This window comes from Homo sapiens, chromosome 13 (genome assembly GCF_000001405.40).
Source record: "Homo sapiens chromosome 13, GRCh38.p14 Primary Assembly".
Taxonomy (NCBI): domain Eukaryota; kingdom Metazoa; phylum Chordata; class Mammalia; order Primates; family Hominidae; genus Homo; species Homo sapiens.
The window spans coordinates 33,119,436-33,135,928 of record NC_000013.11 but is presented as its reverse complement, the minus strand read 5'-3'; the positions used below and the strand labels follow the sequence as shown (position 1 = coordinate 33,135,928).

The 16,493-nt window shown below is 43.3% G+C and overlaps 1 protein-coding gene across 11 annotated transcripts in view; it reads left to right on the top strand.

The window, feature by feature from the left end:
* Window positions 1-16,493, top strand: part of STARD13 (StAR related lipid transfer domain containing 13) — a 573,658-nt gene that overhangs the window by 540,866 nt on the left and 16,299 nt on the right. For all 11 annotated transcript variants that reach the window (XM_017020835.3, NM_001243476.3, XM_047430759.1 and 8 more), the window contains 3 exons: window positions 5,640-7,000; window positions 8,383-8,556; window positions 9,689-9,848. In XM_017020835.3, coding sequence (XP_016876324.1) covers window positions 5,640-7,000; window positions 8,383-8,556; window positions 9,689-9,848 — 1,695 coding nt within the window. The remainder of the gene's footprint in view (window positions 1-5,639; window positions 7,001-8,382; window positions 8,557-9,688; window positions 9,849-16,493) is intronic.

Sequence of the window (16,493 nt, the reverse complement as noted above, 5' to 3'; positions counted from 1 at the left end):
CTGGTCTCAAACTTCTGATCTCAGGTGATCTGTTCGCCTCGGCCTTCCAAAGTGCTGGGATTACAGGCATGAGCCACTATGCCTGGCCATAAGATTTTTAATGTGACAACAAGTTTCTTCTTTGTTATCTAAGTTAAGTGGGATTGATAACAATGTTACTCATGGGTAATAATGTATATCTAAAATTCTTTTGTTTGAGTACCAGTCATCGTAGGGAAACCAGTGAAGAAAGGTTTTTTAAGGCAAGTTAAAAGTTTAGGGTATTCCTTTTCACTTACTACTTTAGGGTATTCCATTCACCTTTTATTCAAAATGAGGTAAGTGATGCTATATTTCCAAAATTCATCTTCAGTTCTTCATCTCTAGCCAATTCTTATAATTATAAAGTTATAAATGTAAATTACCTGTGAAACAGTGGATTCTGTACATTATACACTTTGGTTTATGGTAAGCAAACTAACCTTGAATTGGCACTTGTTGTAAATCAGATTGACCACACACCAGTACCATGCAGCTGTCACTCATAGGACTCACCGTTTGAATTTGACTACACCCAGACTGGTCTTTACCCTGTTCAGTAAGACAAATCCACTGATTGTGAGCTCAGATAGCACAGACTTTTCAAATGGTGACAAATGGTTTTACTTCTTACTCTCAATTTCTGTATCTACCTCATTAAAGAGCAAGTTTGGGGACTGGCAGCCCCCTGACCACACTCTGAGTAGCACTGTCTAGAGTTCCTCATTTCTAAATCAAGCTATTAGTTCTTTCAATTGTCCACCCCAGGAGGTTGTGGTTCTTAGATCCTTGGCCATTCTGATTACTCTTCTCTAGAAATGTACCCCTTAAAATGTGGAGCGCTTAGAAAGAACCCATTGTTCCTGATATATGTGACCAGTGCAGAATGCAATGGGCACTGACCTTTTGAGTCTTGGGATCTATGCTCTGGTCATGCATCCTAAGGTTGGTGTCTTTGTTCAGTAGCCATATTACATGGTTAAGTCACATTAAGCTTACATCTGCCAGAACTCTCAAGACTATTAATAGCAGGAAGGGCTGTTGAACTATGTTCGTTTTATCCTGAAGATCCTGTAATTGATTTTTGAAGTTAGAGTCATTATATTTTACTTTTATGAAATTTTATCTTATTAACAGGTCATCCTTCACTTCTGTTAAGCTCTACACACTTCTCAATATTGCTATTCTCTAACAACAATAACTAGTTTCATCTACCACTTTAGGGTTTATATGGTATTTTCACATATAGTCCCATTTGGTTCTGTTGATAAATCATGCTAGACATGTGTTATTATTGTTTTCATTTTCTAACTCTGAAAACTGAGTCTCAAAGAACCCTTAGCAAATAGCCTAATACCATCTTTACAGTTTAAAAACAGGAGTTCCGGCCCATTCAAGTTACTCTTAAAATGATCATAACCTTGAGACATGCTTCCTTCAGTTATTTACAGTCTTTTAGTCACACGCTTTAGAGGAGTTACTCAACCAGTTACTGACAAAACTCTCTGTAGCAAGCTTGTCCAACCCATGGCTCACGGGCTATATGTGGCCCAGGACAGCTTTGGATGTGCCCCAACACAAATTCATAAACTTTCTTAAAACATTATGAGTTTTTTTGGCCATTTTTTAAAGCTCATCAACTATCATTAGTGTTAGTGTGTTTTATGTGTGGCCCAAGACAATTCTTCTTCTTCCAATATGGCCCAAGGAAGCCAAAAGATTGGACCCCGTTGTGTAGCATCTAGCTAGTGAGCCATATTGTCCACAACGTGGGAACCTATTTTCAGTTGTGTTGCTGAAATTCTGATGCTCCATGTCCCTGGTACGTCCATGGTTTCTGAGACAGGAGAATAAAGTTAGTTTGATGTATCCTTTTCTTTATAAACACATCTGACTCCTAGAGATTTCCATTTTACATTTCTAAATAATCACAAACTATTCATTGTTAACCTCAAAAATTATCAAACAGATGAAATCTGATAATCTCTTTTAAACAATCAGTACACTTCCATAAATACCACTGGAGAGTCTGAAATGTGCCTGATGCTCTGCTGGGTCCCAAGTGCGTAAAAAAACCTTAAACTCTACTGCAATGTGTTTTTCATACTGCAGATCATGGCCCCTTGGTAGGTTGTCAAGTGAATTTGGTGGATCACAAACAACATTTAAAAAAATAAAATAGGCTAAACTAGATTAAAAAGTATCAGAATACAAACAAACAAGGATAATTACTTAAGCATAAATTTTTTTTTTTTTTGCTTTAGTATAGTCTGTATGCATGCCCTGAGTTGTGATGGAAAATACATTTTTTGTTGTGTGTCACTATCAAATAGTTTGAAATATCCATCATTAGTGAAAGAAACAGACACAACCATTTCAATACCCTTTGGAACATACCATGATCGTTGTAGGCACAGGGTGCCAAAGAAGACTGGTCGTTTTTTTTCTCTGTTGCATTTTGCTTTCTATTGCTTTGGTTTTTGTTTGTTTGCTTTGGTTCAAACAACCTAAATACTGCAAAATTTCCCTGAGCTGTTTTCCTTTTTTCCCAGGAGTTTGCCACTTTTTCACATGCCTTAGTTGGGCTGTAAATATCTTCCTGTTGGCCAAAGTGAGTATAATAAGCTCTTAGAGACCAGCAGACAGGGCCAGGCTTTCCCTTCCCAGGCCACAGTGCCCAGCTTGGCATGTGTTCTTAACCTAAATAAAGGAGTCCCTATCCAACTAGTATGTGGTGTGCTGGCATCATAACCAGGTTTGAGAGAGGTAGTTGGGGCCAACACTAAATGTTGTAGTTTCTGTTTTAAAATATCTATATTTTCTTTAAAGTCATATCCTTTTTTTTTGTCTTCTCAAAAACTGTCTGCTAAAAGGGCTTTTTCATAGTCCTTATTTAATATCAACTTCTCACTAGCTTCCTAAAATGCAATACAAAAATCCAATAAGTTCAACGTTCAGCCTATCATGGCACCTTGTGTATAAATGACCCTCATATGTCAGTTTTCATTATATCAATCACAGGAAAAGAGGGAGTAGAAAGTACTAGTAGGAAAGTATATTTTGAGTCATCATTCTGGAGTCTTGCCCTTTTTCCACTTGTACAATTACAACTTTCTAAACTCTTTCATCAGAGCTTTATACAACTTTTTTAAAACTCAGACTCATTTTTCACTGTGATCTCAAGCTGTAGGATTCTTTTTTGTTTCTTTTTGTTTCCTTTTTTTAAGAGACAGGGTCTTGATATGTTGCCCAGGCTAGACTCAAACTCCTAGACTCAAAAGACCCTTCCACCTCAGACTCCCAAGTAGCTGAGATTACAGGCGTGAGCCACTGTATTAGTCCATTTTTCACGCTGCTGATAAAGACATACCTGAGACTGGGTTATTTATAAGTAAAAAGAGGTTTAATGGACTCACAGTTTCATGTAAGCAGGCCTCACAATCATGGTGGAAGGCAAAAGGTACATCTTACATGGCGGCAGACAAGAGAGAAAGAGAGCCAAGCAAAAGGGGTTTCCCCTTATAAAACCATCAGCTCTCATGAGACTTATTCACTACCACAAGAACAGTATGGGGGAACCACCCCCACGATTCAATTATCTCCCACCGGGTCCCTCCCATAACACATCAAAACATGGGAATTATGGGAGCTACAATATTCAAGATTAGATTTTGGTGGGAACACAACCAAACCGTATCAGCCACCGCACCTGACTTCTAAGCCATAGAATTCTTTTCTGTACCTTGGCTTTGTACTCGCTTTCACTTTAAACTTGAATGTTCAAGTTTGTCATTTAGTCAAACCTACACGGAAACTAGATTTTGAAGGAATAAACAAGAATAGGAGGATCCCCACAATGATTAACTGTGCATCTGCTTAGGTTTCCTTAAAAACAACACACTGCAAGGTTAAAGGGAGTTAAAGTGGACGCTAGATACATAAAAAGATTAGTAGGCAATTGAACAAACATTGAAAGATACAAATAAGCAAATACCTCTCAGTGAGGGACTGCTGAATGCACTACCTTCTTTATTCTCTTCAGCAAACCTATGAGGCAAGACCCGCTTCAATCTTATAAGTGGCAGAAACTTACTTTAGAGAGGGTAAGTAGACTGTGGACAGTCACCTAGCTCTTAACTGGTATCACTGACACTTGGAACCAGGTCTTAAAACTGAACACCCAGGTAGAGTAAAATAAATTTAATTCAATTCACAAAAAATAAGCAATTATTATGTCCTTGGCATTGGACAGGCTATACATATGAATAAATATGTTTATATGAATAATGAAACAGAGAAACACAGGTCTTGCTCTTTTTTATTTTTTTGAGATAGTGTCTCACTTTGTTGCTGCGGCTGGGGTGCAGTGGTGCCATCACGGCTCACTGTAGCAGGCCCGGCTCTTGATGACTTCACCTGTAACAACTGAGAGTGGAGGCTTTCAAGCAGAAGGCTTCTAAGCTGAAAAAAAAAAATCATATGATTCGATTTGGACTACACTGTGGAAAGCTATTTAGATGGGGAAGATGCTGGAGACAGGGTTTCTCCCACATTTTTACTGTAACAGATCCAGAGAGAGGTGGCAAGGCCTACACTAAGAGAATGAGAGTGAAATTACGAATGAGGGAACAGATTTGAAAATCAGTTCAGAATTAGGTCTTGGTGATGTGCTTGGTGAGGATGAAGCAGGATCCGATGATTCAGTTTATTTCAGAAGGAAATGATATGCTCTAGGTCAAGGTCTGCGCTGGGCCCAAGGCTATGCAAAGCTAAACCAGGCCATCTCTGGCCTCAGGGAATGCAGATGCTCCCCTCTCAGGGGCTGCAAATTCAGGCAGAAACCAGACACCTAGAGTCAATGTGTGAGGCCCAAAGTGTAAGACAGTGCCAAGCCGCGGGGACCCACTGCAGCCACACAGAGGTGTGCGTCCTGCCAACGGCATTCTGACTCGGAGTTGATTCCACAGAAAAAGACGCTCATGCAGAGTAGCCGGATTGGATCACAAATAGCGATCTCCAGAATGGCTCCCTCATCTCTACTTAAAGAAATTCAGTGGTTCATTTTGCTGTTACCTTATCCAGGGAATACACGATAAGAATCAAGTGCAGGGGACTAAAATAAGGAGTGTTAGCTTTGAGATATACTGAAGCTGAGATTCAGATGGGGCAAGCTGGAAATATGGTCCCCGGGGCTCAGTGAAGAGGTTTCTGGAAAGAAGTAAGTGCCTTTTATGGCAGAGTTGAGTTCCTTTGTGAAAAAGAAGACTGCAGGTGCTTTATATTTAGACCGTCTAGTCTGATGTAATTATACCCTCTTTATAATCAGTCAGGGAAAACTTCTTAGAGAGGAAGGAAGGAGGCATTCAAAACCTCTTTGAAAATGGGAAGGAAGAAAGTTTGGCAAGTTGAGAAGGGTCCTCTGGCCACTGGGAGGAAGGGTATGTACAAGACAGTGCAAGTGGTAGAAGGACAGCTTAGAGGTGCCCAAGAAGCTCACACCTGTGCATGGGAGGACAGAGGGGAGGGAGGTGGAGGACCACACAGGGCTGCCCTCAGAGCACCCAGAGTTCCTGCTTCAGCCACGCTGTCTGCTAATGAGCATTTTCCTTGGTGCTCTGCAGGGTGACGACTCCGATGAGGAAGATCTTTGTATCAGCAACAAATGGACTTTCCAAAGAACCAGTCGCAGGTGGTCTCGTGTGGACGACCTCTACACGCTGCTCCCTCGAGGAGACAGAAATGGGTCACCGGGAGGCACGGGGATGAGGAACACGACCAGCAGTGAGAGCGTCCTCACAGACCTGAGCGAGCCTGAGGTCTGCTCCATTCACAGCGAAAGCAGTGGAGGCAGCGACAGTCGCAGCCAGCCGGGCCAGTGCTGTACAGACAACCCGGTCATGCTGGATGCCCCACTCGTCAGCAGCAGCCTCCCACAGCCCCCCAGAGATGTCCTCAACCACCCCTTCCACCCCAAGAATGAGAAGCCCACGAGGGCTAGGGCCAAATCATTTTTGAAACGCATGGAAACACTCCGAGGGAAGGGAGCCCACGGGAGGCATAAGGGGTCTGGGCGGACAGGTGGCCTGGTGATCAGTGGGCCCATGTTGCAGCAGGAGCCAGAGTCCTTTAAGGCTATGCAGTGCATCCAAATACCAAATGGAGATCTCCAGAATTCGCCGCCACCTGCCTGCAGAAAAGGGCTCCCATGCTCTGGCAAGTCGAGTGGCGAGAGCAGCCCGTCGGAGCACAGCAGCAGCGGGGTGAGCACGCCCTGCCTGAAGGAACGCAAGTGCCACGAGGCCAACAAGCGCGGGGGCATGTACTTGGAGGACCTAGATGTGCTGGCGGGGACAGCACTGCCGGATGCAGGGGACCAAAGCCGTATGCATGAATTTCACTCCCAAGAGAATTTGGTGGTGCATATTCCCAAGGATCACAAACCAGGAACATTCCCCAAGGCACTTTCTATTGAAAGCCTCTCTCCCACAGATAGTAGCAATGGGGTTAATTGGAGGACCGGTAGCATCTCCCTGGGCAGAGAGCAGGTCCCTGGTGCCAGGGAGCCCCGGCTCATGGCGTCCTGCCACAGAGCCAGCCGAGTCAGTATCTATGACAATGTCCCTGGCTCCCATCTGTATGCCAGCACAGGAGATCTTTTGGACTTGGAGAAAGATGACCTTTTCCCTCACTTGGATGACATTCTGCAGCATGTCAATGGGCTCCAAGAGGTAGTCGATGACTGGTCCAAAGATGTCTTGCCTGAACTGCAAACTCATGATACATTGGTTGGGGAACCTGGCTTATCCACCTTTCCATCTCCTAATCAGATCACCTTAGATTTTGAAGGTAACTCTGTCTCAGAAGGTCGGACGACACCCAGTGATGTGGAAAGAGATGTAACATCTCTTAATGAATCTGAGCCTCCTGGGGTCAGAGACAGGAGGGATTCTGGTGTAGGGGCCTCTCTGACCAGGCCAAACAGGTAGGTGGCATGCACTTGTGAAATGATTTTTCATCCATTTCATAGTAATTGTGTTCTGTTTATTTCTTTAACAAACATACACAGAGTACTTACTAAATGCCTGACTCTGTTCTAAGTGATGTATGTGATTAGGAATTATTTGAACAGAAGTATGACTTCTGTACAGGTATCATGGTGATTGAATCCATGTGAACTCATATTTATTTGTGCTTATCCTTTATTTTGTTCCTAGTTTTATCCAAAAATATTTTGAGCTTCTTATGTGCAAAGCGTTATACTGGGCACCATAGGCAGGGAATCCTGGATAACCAATACCCAGTTCCTAGGCACCGACTCTTCCCCTGACCTTCCTGTGATGCGTTCATCAAAATGTCTCTTCCCCAAATTTTACACTTTTTTTGCTCCTATAAGAAATTTCTGAGGCCTAAGATGTGTACTCTGCAAGTTTGTTTTTGCTTTAAAGTGCCAATTACAAAGTACATCAAAGCTGACCTACAAAGACCGTTTCAGAAGCACCATAGAAAAATGGCCCTGTGCTGCTGGGTTTCTGGTTGAGGCAAGGGTGTGTCTTGTGGTTCAGTGATGTGTCACCTCTGTACCTCTCATCTTCGGGCTCCATCTCAATACTGAGCAAGATATAGAGTGTAGACACATGGAAGACAATGAGAAAATTTTCTACAGCCCTAGACATTCGACAGCTCTCTCCCTCTCTCTCTCTCTGTTTCTTGCTCCCTGTCTGTATCTCTCTCTCTTTCTCTCTTTGTCTTTATCGCTCTACCTCTGTCTGTCCTCTGTCTATATTGCTCTATCTCTGTCTTCCCTCTCTCTGTCTCTTGCTCTGTCTCTATCTTTCTGTCTCTGTCTGTCTCTCCATCCTCTGCCTCTGTATCTCTTTTTGTCTCATCTCTCCATCTCTCCATCTACATCTGTCTCTCTCTTTTCTATCTCTCTGCTCTCTCTGCTTCTGTCTATATCTCCCTGTCTCCGTCTCTTTCCTCTCTTTCCGTTTCTCTCTCTCCCTCTGTTTCTCTCTCTCTCTCTCTCACATACACACACACACACACTCACTCACACACACACTGTCTCAGCTTGCTCTCAACACTTTGGGAACAAATTTGGAATAAACAAACATAATATTTCCTCTATCACTTATTTAAACCCCCTAATAAAATGGATAATAAGACTTTTTCCAGATTTATCTGACTTGGAAAAATCATGTCCTATGTTTATTCTGCACACTTGTGTCTTCTGTTCCATTTGCTTTGCGATTTTCTTTGCTCGGCTGCTATCTTGATTAGCTGCGTGTACCTTGGTGATGTCCCGTGTTTCCCGCTACCAAGTCCACTTTGTGACTGGCTTCTCTGATGGTCTCTCTGGTAAAGGCGACTCCGATGGAACAGTTTCCAGCTGTCGCACCAGCCCCGGCCGGCCCCAGCATCGCCCCACATCAGCAGCCAGACGGCCAGCCAGCTGAGCCTGCTCCAGCGCTTCTCACTGCTCCGCCTCACGGCCATCATGGAGAAGCACTCCATGTCCAACAAGCACGGCTGGACATGGTGCGTAGCACATTCACCTAGGAGGGGATCCTTGGCTCTAGAGCTAAGTGTGTGATTGCAGAAGCTTCCATGTTTACTTTGTGATATCTGAAAAACCCATTCATTGCCTTCACTGATGATCTCCTGGACATAAGGCATGAGCTCTGCCGTAGCCTCGATGCAGTGGACCCTACAGGAAACATTGCTCTATTTGTAGTTCTCAGTTGGTTTCCAGGGAAGGCAGTCAGGCTCCAAGAAAGGAAAAAGAGACAAGTAAAGGGTGATTAATTGTGAACAGAGGAAATAAAAATAAACTTGCCATAAAATAATCCTGGCAGTTTGCACAGAAACAGCTGTCACTTGTACCTTCTGGCCTGATGCAAAGCTTACCACTTAGAGCATTGATTCATTCAAAGAGCATTTAATTCTTCAAATACATTTCTGCTTTTATTTCATTGGCAAATAGAAACAAGAATATGCAGTAAACCTTGTAATAAGGAATTGACAGAAGCATGTTAGAACTTGAATGTGGACCTATTGTAGATGATTTGGTGGGTTTGAAAAAATACAAAATGTGTCAGTAATTGTTCTATGTTTTATATTATACATATTTAAAAAATCAATGGTGCTTTTATGAAATATTTTAGAAGGTTATAAATTCATGGTCAAATCAATATATGCTTCTGTATTAAAATGTCCTTTGAAAACTACAACTGGCTCTAGAAAAGTAAGATAGAGCCAAGAAATATTGTTCTTCTTTTCTCCCTTCCTTTTCCTCCAACCCCAGCCAGATTTCTTCTTCCTCTTGTAATTTTTAATTTGTTTTGTTTTGTTGGGGACTTTTAAGTGTTCAGCACTTGAGAAATAAGTCTATCACAGTTAAATTGGAAAGTTGTCCACTTGACCTGAAAACAGAGCTACAAATACATTCTGGGAACGTGACTCATGCTGTTTAGTAGCTAGAGATAGCAAGCAGGCAAGGGCCACACAGAGCACAGCAGTGTCCTGTGATTAATGCAGAGAGAATGTTGAATTCACCCCGCATCTGTTGGGTATTCCAACAAAAGCCTGGCTTCCCTCATGCTTGCTTCCAGAGCCTCACCCCACAGTGTGACCCAGGAGGCTTGCATGACCTGGTTTCTGTAAATTCTAGGTCAGTTCCAAAGTTCATGAAGAGGATGAAAGTTCCCGACTACAAAGACAAGGCTGTCTTTGGCGTTCCTCTCATAGTCCACGTCCAAAGAACGGGACAGCCCCTGCCTCAAAGTATTCAGCAAGCACTGAGATATCTACGCAGCAACTGCCTCGATCAGGTAGGGCTGTAACCCCCCCGCTGCTGCCCCACCACCCCCAACCATGGGATTGGATTGAGGGGATGTCAGACTGAGTCAGATCTGCCCAATATCAGGCAAGACATGCCTCACCAAAAATAAAAGGCATTGTGACCTTTATGTAGCAATATTTAATTTGAACAAGACATGTCCTATTTGAGGATGTTTCCTCATTGGCAACTTAAATGATGACCTGGAGTGACTGGGGAAAGTTGACGTTAACAGTTTGTTCCTGGGATGTCTAATTTGCAATCCCTAAAAACTAGAGTTAAGCTATGTACTGTACTGCATTTCCTTTGTAACTATTATTTCAGTGCCACCATTGATTTCACACTGTTCTTTTATCCCTATTATTTTTGAAAAAGAATTAGGTTTTTCATGCCTCCTTTTATTAATTCTTTTTTTTTCCTTTGAAGCAGCATCATGACCAGGAAAACTTAAACCAAACACAGATTTATTTACATCTTTTAAAAATGTGCAAGTAAAATATGAACAAAAGTATCAGCTAAGTCAAATATCCCCTCATTTTATAGAGTTGATTCAATGCTGAAGCTAAACAAAATATTCAGAGATTTGCTGCCTCCGAGACTTTTGGGGCCCACCATAATGGTGGACTGTGATTAAATCCAGAGTGCTGTCCGTCCTGTACTTTACAAAACAAAGGCTTTGCTCCTCCAAATTAACACCCATTAGCTTCTTAGACATTCTGTCCAAAATAAAAGTTGTGTTCTTAATTGATAAATTGCAGCCCTGAATAGTGGGTATATTTCCAGGCAGCTATTCTGTAATAGTCCCTGTTCATCATACTTTTTGATGCCATGCAGAGAATCTGTACCAACCTAAGATTATTTGTACTTTTTATTGATTTACCCTGGTCCTTGGGCTCAGTGGGCAGGAATGAGCTGGCTAGTGATGCTTGTAGAGACCCCAATACTGAGACCACACTTAGAATCAGGCTGGTCTCTTGGTGAACCAGAAATCAATTTTCAGTGCAGAAAAATAGCAGTAACTTCTTCATTTGAAGTTGTCTTTGACTGAACTGAATGTGTGTTCCCCTTTGTCCCTCCTCATTTTTAATTTAGAGAATCTGCACATAACATTTTTCCATATTTGTATGTCATCGCAGAGGGTGGGATGGCTGCTGTCATTGTTGTGAGGATGGCTGTTTAGTTTTGAGAAATGGCCTTAATAGCTTGCCTCTTATTCCCCAGAAATAAGGGTGACAGGCTACTTTTCTAGGGTTCTCTTCTTTGACAGATGCCCCAGCATGAATTGACTTGTGAATCACATCCCAATAGAGTCAGCCAATGAATCTCGTTACTTAAGCAAACATTTTAATTTTTTTAATCTTAGAGGTTTTACTAAGAATACACATTATTCAAAGTTAATGTCCATAGCTATAAACCATTCCTGCCCCCCGTAGCTTCTGAATAATGTGCAGTGCCAATATCATTGCTGTTAGTGGGGCCAGTCTCTCTTTAGAAGCAAAAGTCTTATCAGTAGAGAGAAAGACACAGGGCACCAAAACCTCTTCCACCCCTGTGTCCATCTCAGGTCAATTTTTTAAATCTGGGAGAATGCCAAGATGAAAAACAGTGTGCCGGCAAAGGCTTGGAGGAAGAAGACTCATTTCAAGATATAAATACTGATTCTAAATGTAATTAAAATGAATAGAGCCACGCATCTCGCGTCAGTCACATGGGAGAATCCGTAGGACATCGAAGGGACTTTCACCACAGTCAGTCACCACCTTATAATGCACCCAGTCCTGGCAGGGCTTCCAGCCTTGGAATGTCCCTCCCTTTCCTTGTCAATGTGGTGTGGGAAGCACGCAGAGACCACCTCTCTGGCTCCTGTGAAAAAGGAAGGTGGTAATAGGAAGGAAAAGGGGAGAACTAGAGAAACATAAGGAATCAAAACCTGGCTTTTCCGGAGATTTCAGAGCAAGCAAGAGCTAGTAAAAGCGAATCAATCAGAAAAGCGAGGGGAAAAGAGTGAAAAGCAAGGAGAGCAACACCAAACGAATGTTCTTTCTTCGCCAACAGCACTTCTGTGGAATTGAAAAGATTCCAGTCTGCCCAAGGCCTTGAGATCTCAGCCTCAAAGCTGCAGAAGACGAGAACATCCGCAAATAACCCCTTCTATGCCACATTTTAATAGGAAGTACCACCCCATACTCTCCCAAGGCATTGCCCCGAGTCTCAGGGAGAAGGCTTCCTGCAGTGCGATGGGCCCTTCTCCCCGTGCTAAACACTCGCCTCGCATATAAGCACTCATTGCAGTTGACCCTGCCCCACAGAGCCTGACACATTGCCAGCCTTTTGTCTTCCACACTCCTGCATGCCCAGCAGTTTCTATATGATGCAACAGAGTGTCCATGTTTGCCCTTGCAGCTGGCTGTGGGTGAGATGAGGAAGTTTAGCCTTCAATTATGAACCATTTGTATTCAGACATAGTAGTGTGTAAGAGGAGCCTTGCTTTGTTGTCTGAGCTTTTATTTCTGCCCTAAATCAACTGTGCACAGAATAGATTATACCTATTCCTGATGAATATGAAGTCACCGCAGTGAGAGGCTGAACCTGCAATGCTCAGAATAAGAATCTGCTGCATACTCTTCTTATGAATCTTTCTTTCTCAAGAAAACCAACCTTCCTTCATTAGCTGAGCACATTTCTAAAGAAGAGGAAATGGAAGTCCTGATAAACATCATTAAGTCCCGAAAAAGATTAGCATAAACAGGATGCCAAGAGGGAGATTTAATATTATTCAGATGGAATGTGAATTCTAATGCACCACTCATGCTCAGCCTCTCCTCCTAATAGAGCAGTAAGTTTTAAAAGCCTAATCATGCTGGGAAGACTCTTAGTACTCAGTACAAGTGTCCCTGCCCCCGCTGGCTGTTTGTCACTTTTTCTGTTGCCTGCCTCAGATAAAGTGAGCAGTGCTCTGGGGCTATCCAGTGAAATTATCCTTGAGTCCTTGCTTTTTTTTTTTTTTTTTTTTTTTTGAGATGGAGTCTTGCTCTGTCACCCAGGCTGGAGTGCAGTGGCACGATCTCAGCTCACTGCAACCTCCGCCTCCTGGGTTCAAGTGATTCTTCTGCCTCAGCCTCCTGAGTGGCTGGGATTTACAGGCACGCACCACCATACCCAGCTAATTTTTGTATTTTTAATAGAGATAGGGTTTCACCATGTTGGCCAGGCTGGTCTCGAACTCCTGACCTCAGGTGATCCACCCGCCTCGGCCTCCCTAAGTGCTGGGATTACAGGCATGAGCCACTGTGCCCAGCTGAGTCCTTGCTTTTTCATAGCTAGGTTTTTAGGTGAAAGACAACAGAAAGAAGACAGGAAAACTAGACCAAGGGGACACTCATCACTCGCCTTTTATCTTCAAAAGGAAATGAGAGATCACATACAAGAGAGATGCTTATAAAATGAACTCTGCATTGCTGATGGCCATTCTCCCCTTTCTCAAGAGGGTGGCTGGGCTGAGCTTTAACAGTAGATGACAGCAGGACCTGTTATGCCATTTGTGGGACCAGTGAAAAGAGAAAATGTGGGATCACTTGTTCATAAATCATTGAGAATTTCAAAACCAAGACAGCAGAGCATTAAACTAAGTGTGTGAGACCCTGTGTGATGGCCCAGGCTGCCCGTCCATGGGTGACAGACACAAAAGTGAAGGAAAAACATTATGCCCTCCTGGGATCTTCCTCATAACGAAGCTGAGGGAGCTGGGGCTGTTGCCTGCCCATCCACTGTGATCAGAAGGATGAGCAACAGGGCAGGTATGGTGGCTCACACTTAAAATCCCAACACTTTGGGAGGCCGAGGTGGGCAGATCACTTGAGGTCAGGAGTTCAGGGCCAGCCTGGCCAACATGGTGAAACACCATCTCTGCTAAAAATACAAAAATTAGGCTGGGTGCAGTGGCTCACGCCTGTAATCCCAGTACTTTGGGAGGCCGAAGCTGGTGAATCACCTGAGGTCAAGAGTTCTAGACCAGCCTGGCCAACATGGTAAAACCCTGTCACTACTAAAAATACAAAAGTTAGCTGGGCATGGTGGCAGGTGCCTGTAATCCCAGCTACTCAGGGGGCTGAGGCAGGAGAATTGCTTGAACCCAGGAGGCAGAGGTTGCAGTGAGCTGAGATCGTGCCATCGCACTCCAACCTGGGGGATAAGAGCGAGACTTTATCTCAAAAAAAAAAAAAAAATTAGCTGGGCGTGGTGGTGCACACCTGTAATCCTAGCTACTTGGGAGGCTGTGGCAGAAGAATCACTTGAATCCAGGAGATGGAGGTTGTGGTTGAGCTGAGATCATGCTACTGCACTCCAGCACTCCAGCCCTGATAGACAGAGTGAGACTCTGTCTCAAAAAAAAAAAAAAAAAAGGATGAACAACAGGTTTCTTCTCCATTTTTTATGTGGAAAACTATCTCTTGTCAAAAATTCAGATCAAATCCTTGCTTTGGAAACTTTTTTTTTTTTTTTTTGAGGTGGAGTCTGGCTCTGTTGCCCAGGCTAGAGTGCAGTGGCACAATCTCAGCTCACTGCAACCTCTGCCTCCCAGGTTCAAGAGATTCTCCCACCTCAGCCTTCCAAGTAGCTGGGATTCCAGGCACCCACCACCACTCCTGGCTAATTTTTGTATTTTTTAGTAGAGACGAGGTTTTGCCATGTTGGCCAGGCTGGTCTCAAACTCCTGACCTCAGACAATCCAACCACCTCGGCCTCCCAAAGTGCTGGGATTACAGGTGTGAGCCACTGTGCTCGGCCAAAACTTTCTGAAGAAGAAATGATTATTGGAAACCACTCGTTGCCGTCACAGTGTTTTTCTATGAGGATCGAGAGGGGAAGCTCTTCTTCTGGTCTCAGGATCTCTCTATGCCTTAGAAAGACCATCTTCTACTCACTGTGCCCAGTGGCTTTCCACAGCAACCACTAGAAGCCCCATCCCAAAATGGCTTAAATGACAGGAAATTCATGGTCTCACAAAACACAAACAAAAAGTCAGGAAATAGGCCAGCCATGGCGGCTCACACCTGTAATGCCAGCACTTTGGGAGGCCAAGGTGGGTGGATCACTTGAGGTCAGGAGTTCGAGACCAGCCTGGCCAATGTGGCGAAATCCTGTCTCTACTAAAAAATGTAAAAAGTAGCTGGAAGTGGTGGCAGGTGCCTGTAATCCCAGCTACTTAGTAGGCTGAGACAGGAGAATCACTTGAATGCGCCACTGCACTCCAGCCTGGGTGACAGAGCAAGACTCCGTCTCAAAAAAAAAAAAAGTCAGGAAATAGAACGGTTCCAGGGTTAGCTCAATCATCAGCTCATCAATAGCTTTGAAGAGAGGTTCTTTCCATCTTTCCCTTTGGCCATCTTCAGCTACTATAACTGGAATCTGATTTGAGACCACCTTTTCTTTATTAGGTTTATGAAAGAAAATTTTCCTGCTGTACTTCCAACAAAAATCCACAGAAACCAAAATATATATATACGTCTATATTTCCCATGTCCCCTAGAAGACAAGGCCAGGGCAGGAAGGTTATTGTCAGACTTCGAGGCAGCACAATAAATCCCTGACTACCCTCTGGACATCCTAAGATCTCAGTCAGAAAAAGCAGCTCAGAGCCCACAGCTGGAGAGCTGCAGACATGTCTAAAATAATTAAAATAACAATATTTGCTGAAACGAGAAAGAAATTTGGAAACCAAACAATACAAAGATAGCATCTCTGGGATGTGTGTGTGCACGCACATGACTGTGTGCCCAGAAACAGCCCGCAAGACACGGTGGACAAAAGAGGAACGTGCTCGACAATTTAAACAGAAACACTGTCTGCTTTATTCTTTTTGTAGATCCTGATCAACATTTCTCTGCTGTTAAAAAAGTAGGAATTCTTCTCAAATGGAATAATACCTGCTCATATGAGGATAAATATTTGTGAGTCACACTGAAGTATTTACCTTCAGGGCATCTCGATTATGAGAACTCTCGTACAGCACAGCCAGCCCTGTGGTGTGCACAGTCCTGGGCCTCCTTCCAAAATCAGAAAAGCAGAAGATGTAAACAAATCGGAGATGGATCTCACCCCAATAATCACTCACCTGACATCTTGAATTTTTTTCTCTTTTGACAGTACATGCTTTCTTTCCATGCCCTTTGATGAAATTTGGAGTTGTTGCCAGTTGAAGGAAGATAAATATTGTCTGGATTCTTTGTGGCGAATCATCTAAGTATGGCAAAACTGTGCATTTTCTAGACATTCCAAACTTTAAGAATAAAAAAGAAAGTAACTCATATTTTAAGTGACAATATTATCAGCCTGAATATCCTGATGTGTGGGATTAGAGCGATAAACCTTGGAATGCAAAGAAATATTACTAAGAATTCTGTTTTTATGGCCACAAAAAGTAGCAGTGTATAATTTCCCCTGTGATCCATTCGGCTGACATATACAAAAACCTGAGTATGCTCTAATGGCTTGGAATCCTTCCCCTGCTGTTACCACAATTTAAAAGAATGAGGACTGCTCTCCATTTGTTGCAGCAATCAGGAAAGCCTTTGTCACATACCCGAACTTGGGTGGAGGCCGGCCTGGCACACAGAGTGATCAGTAAGACGACCTG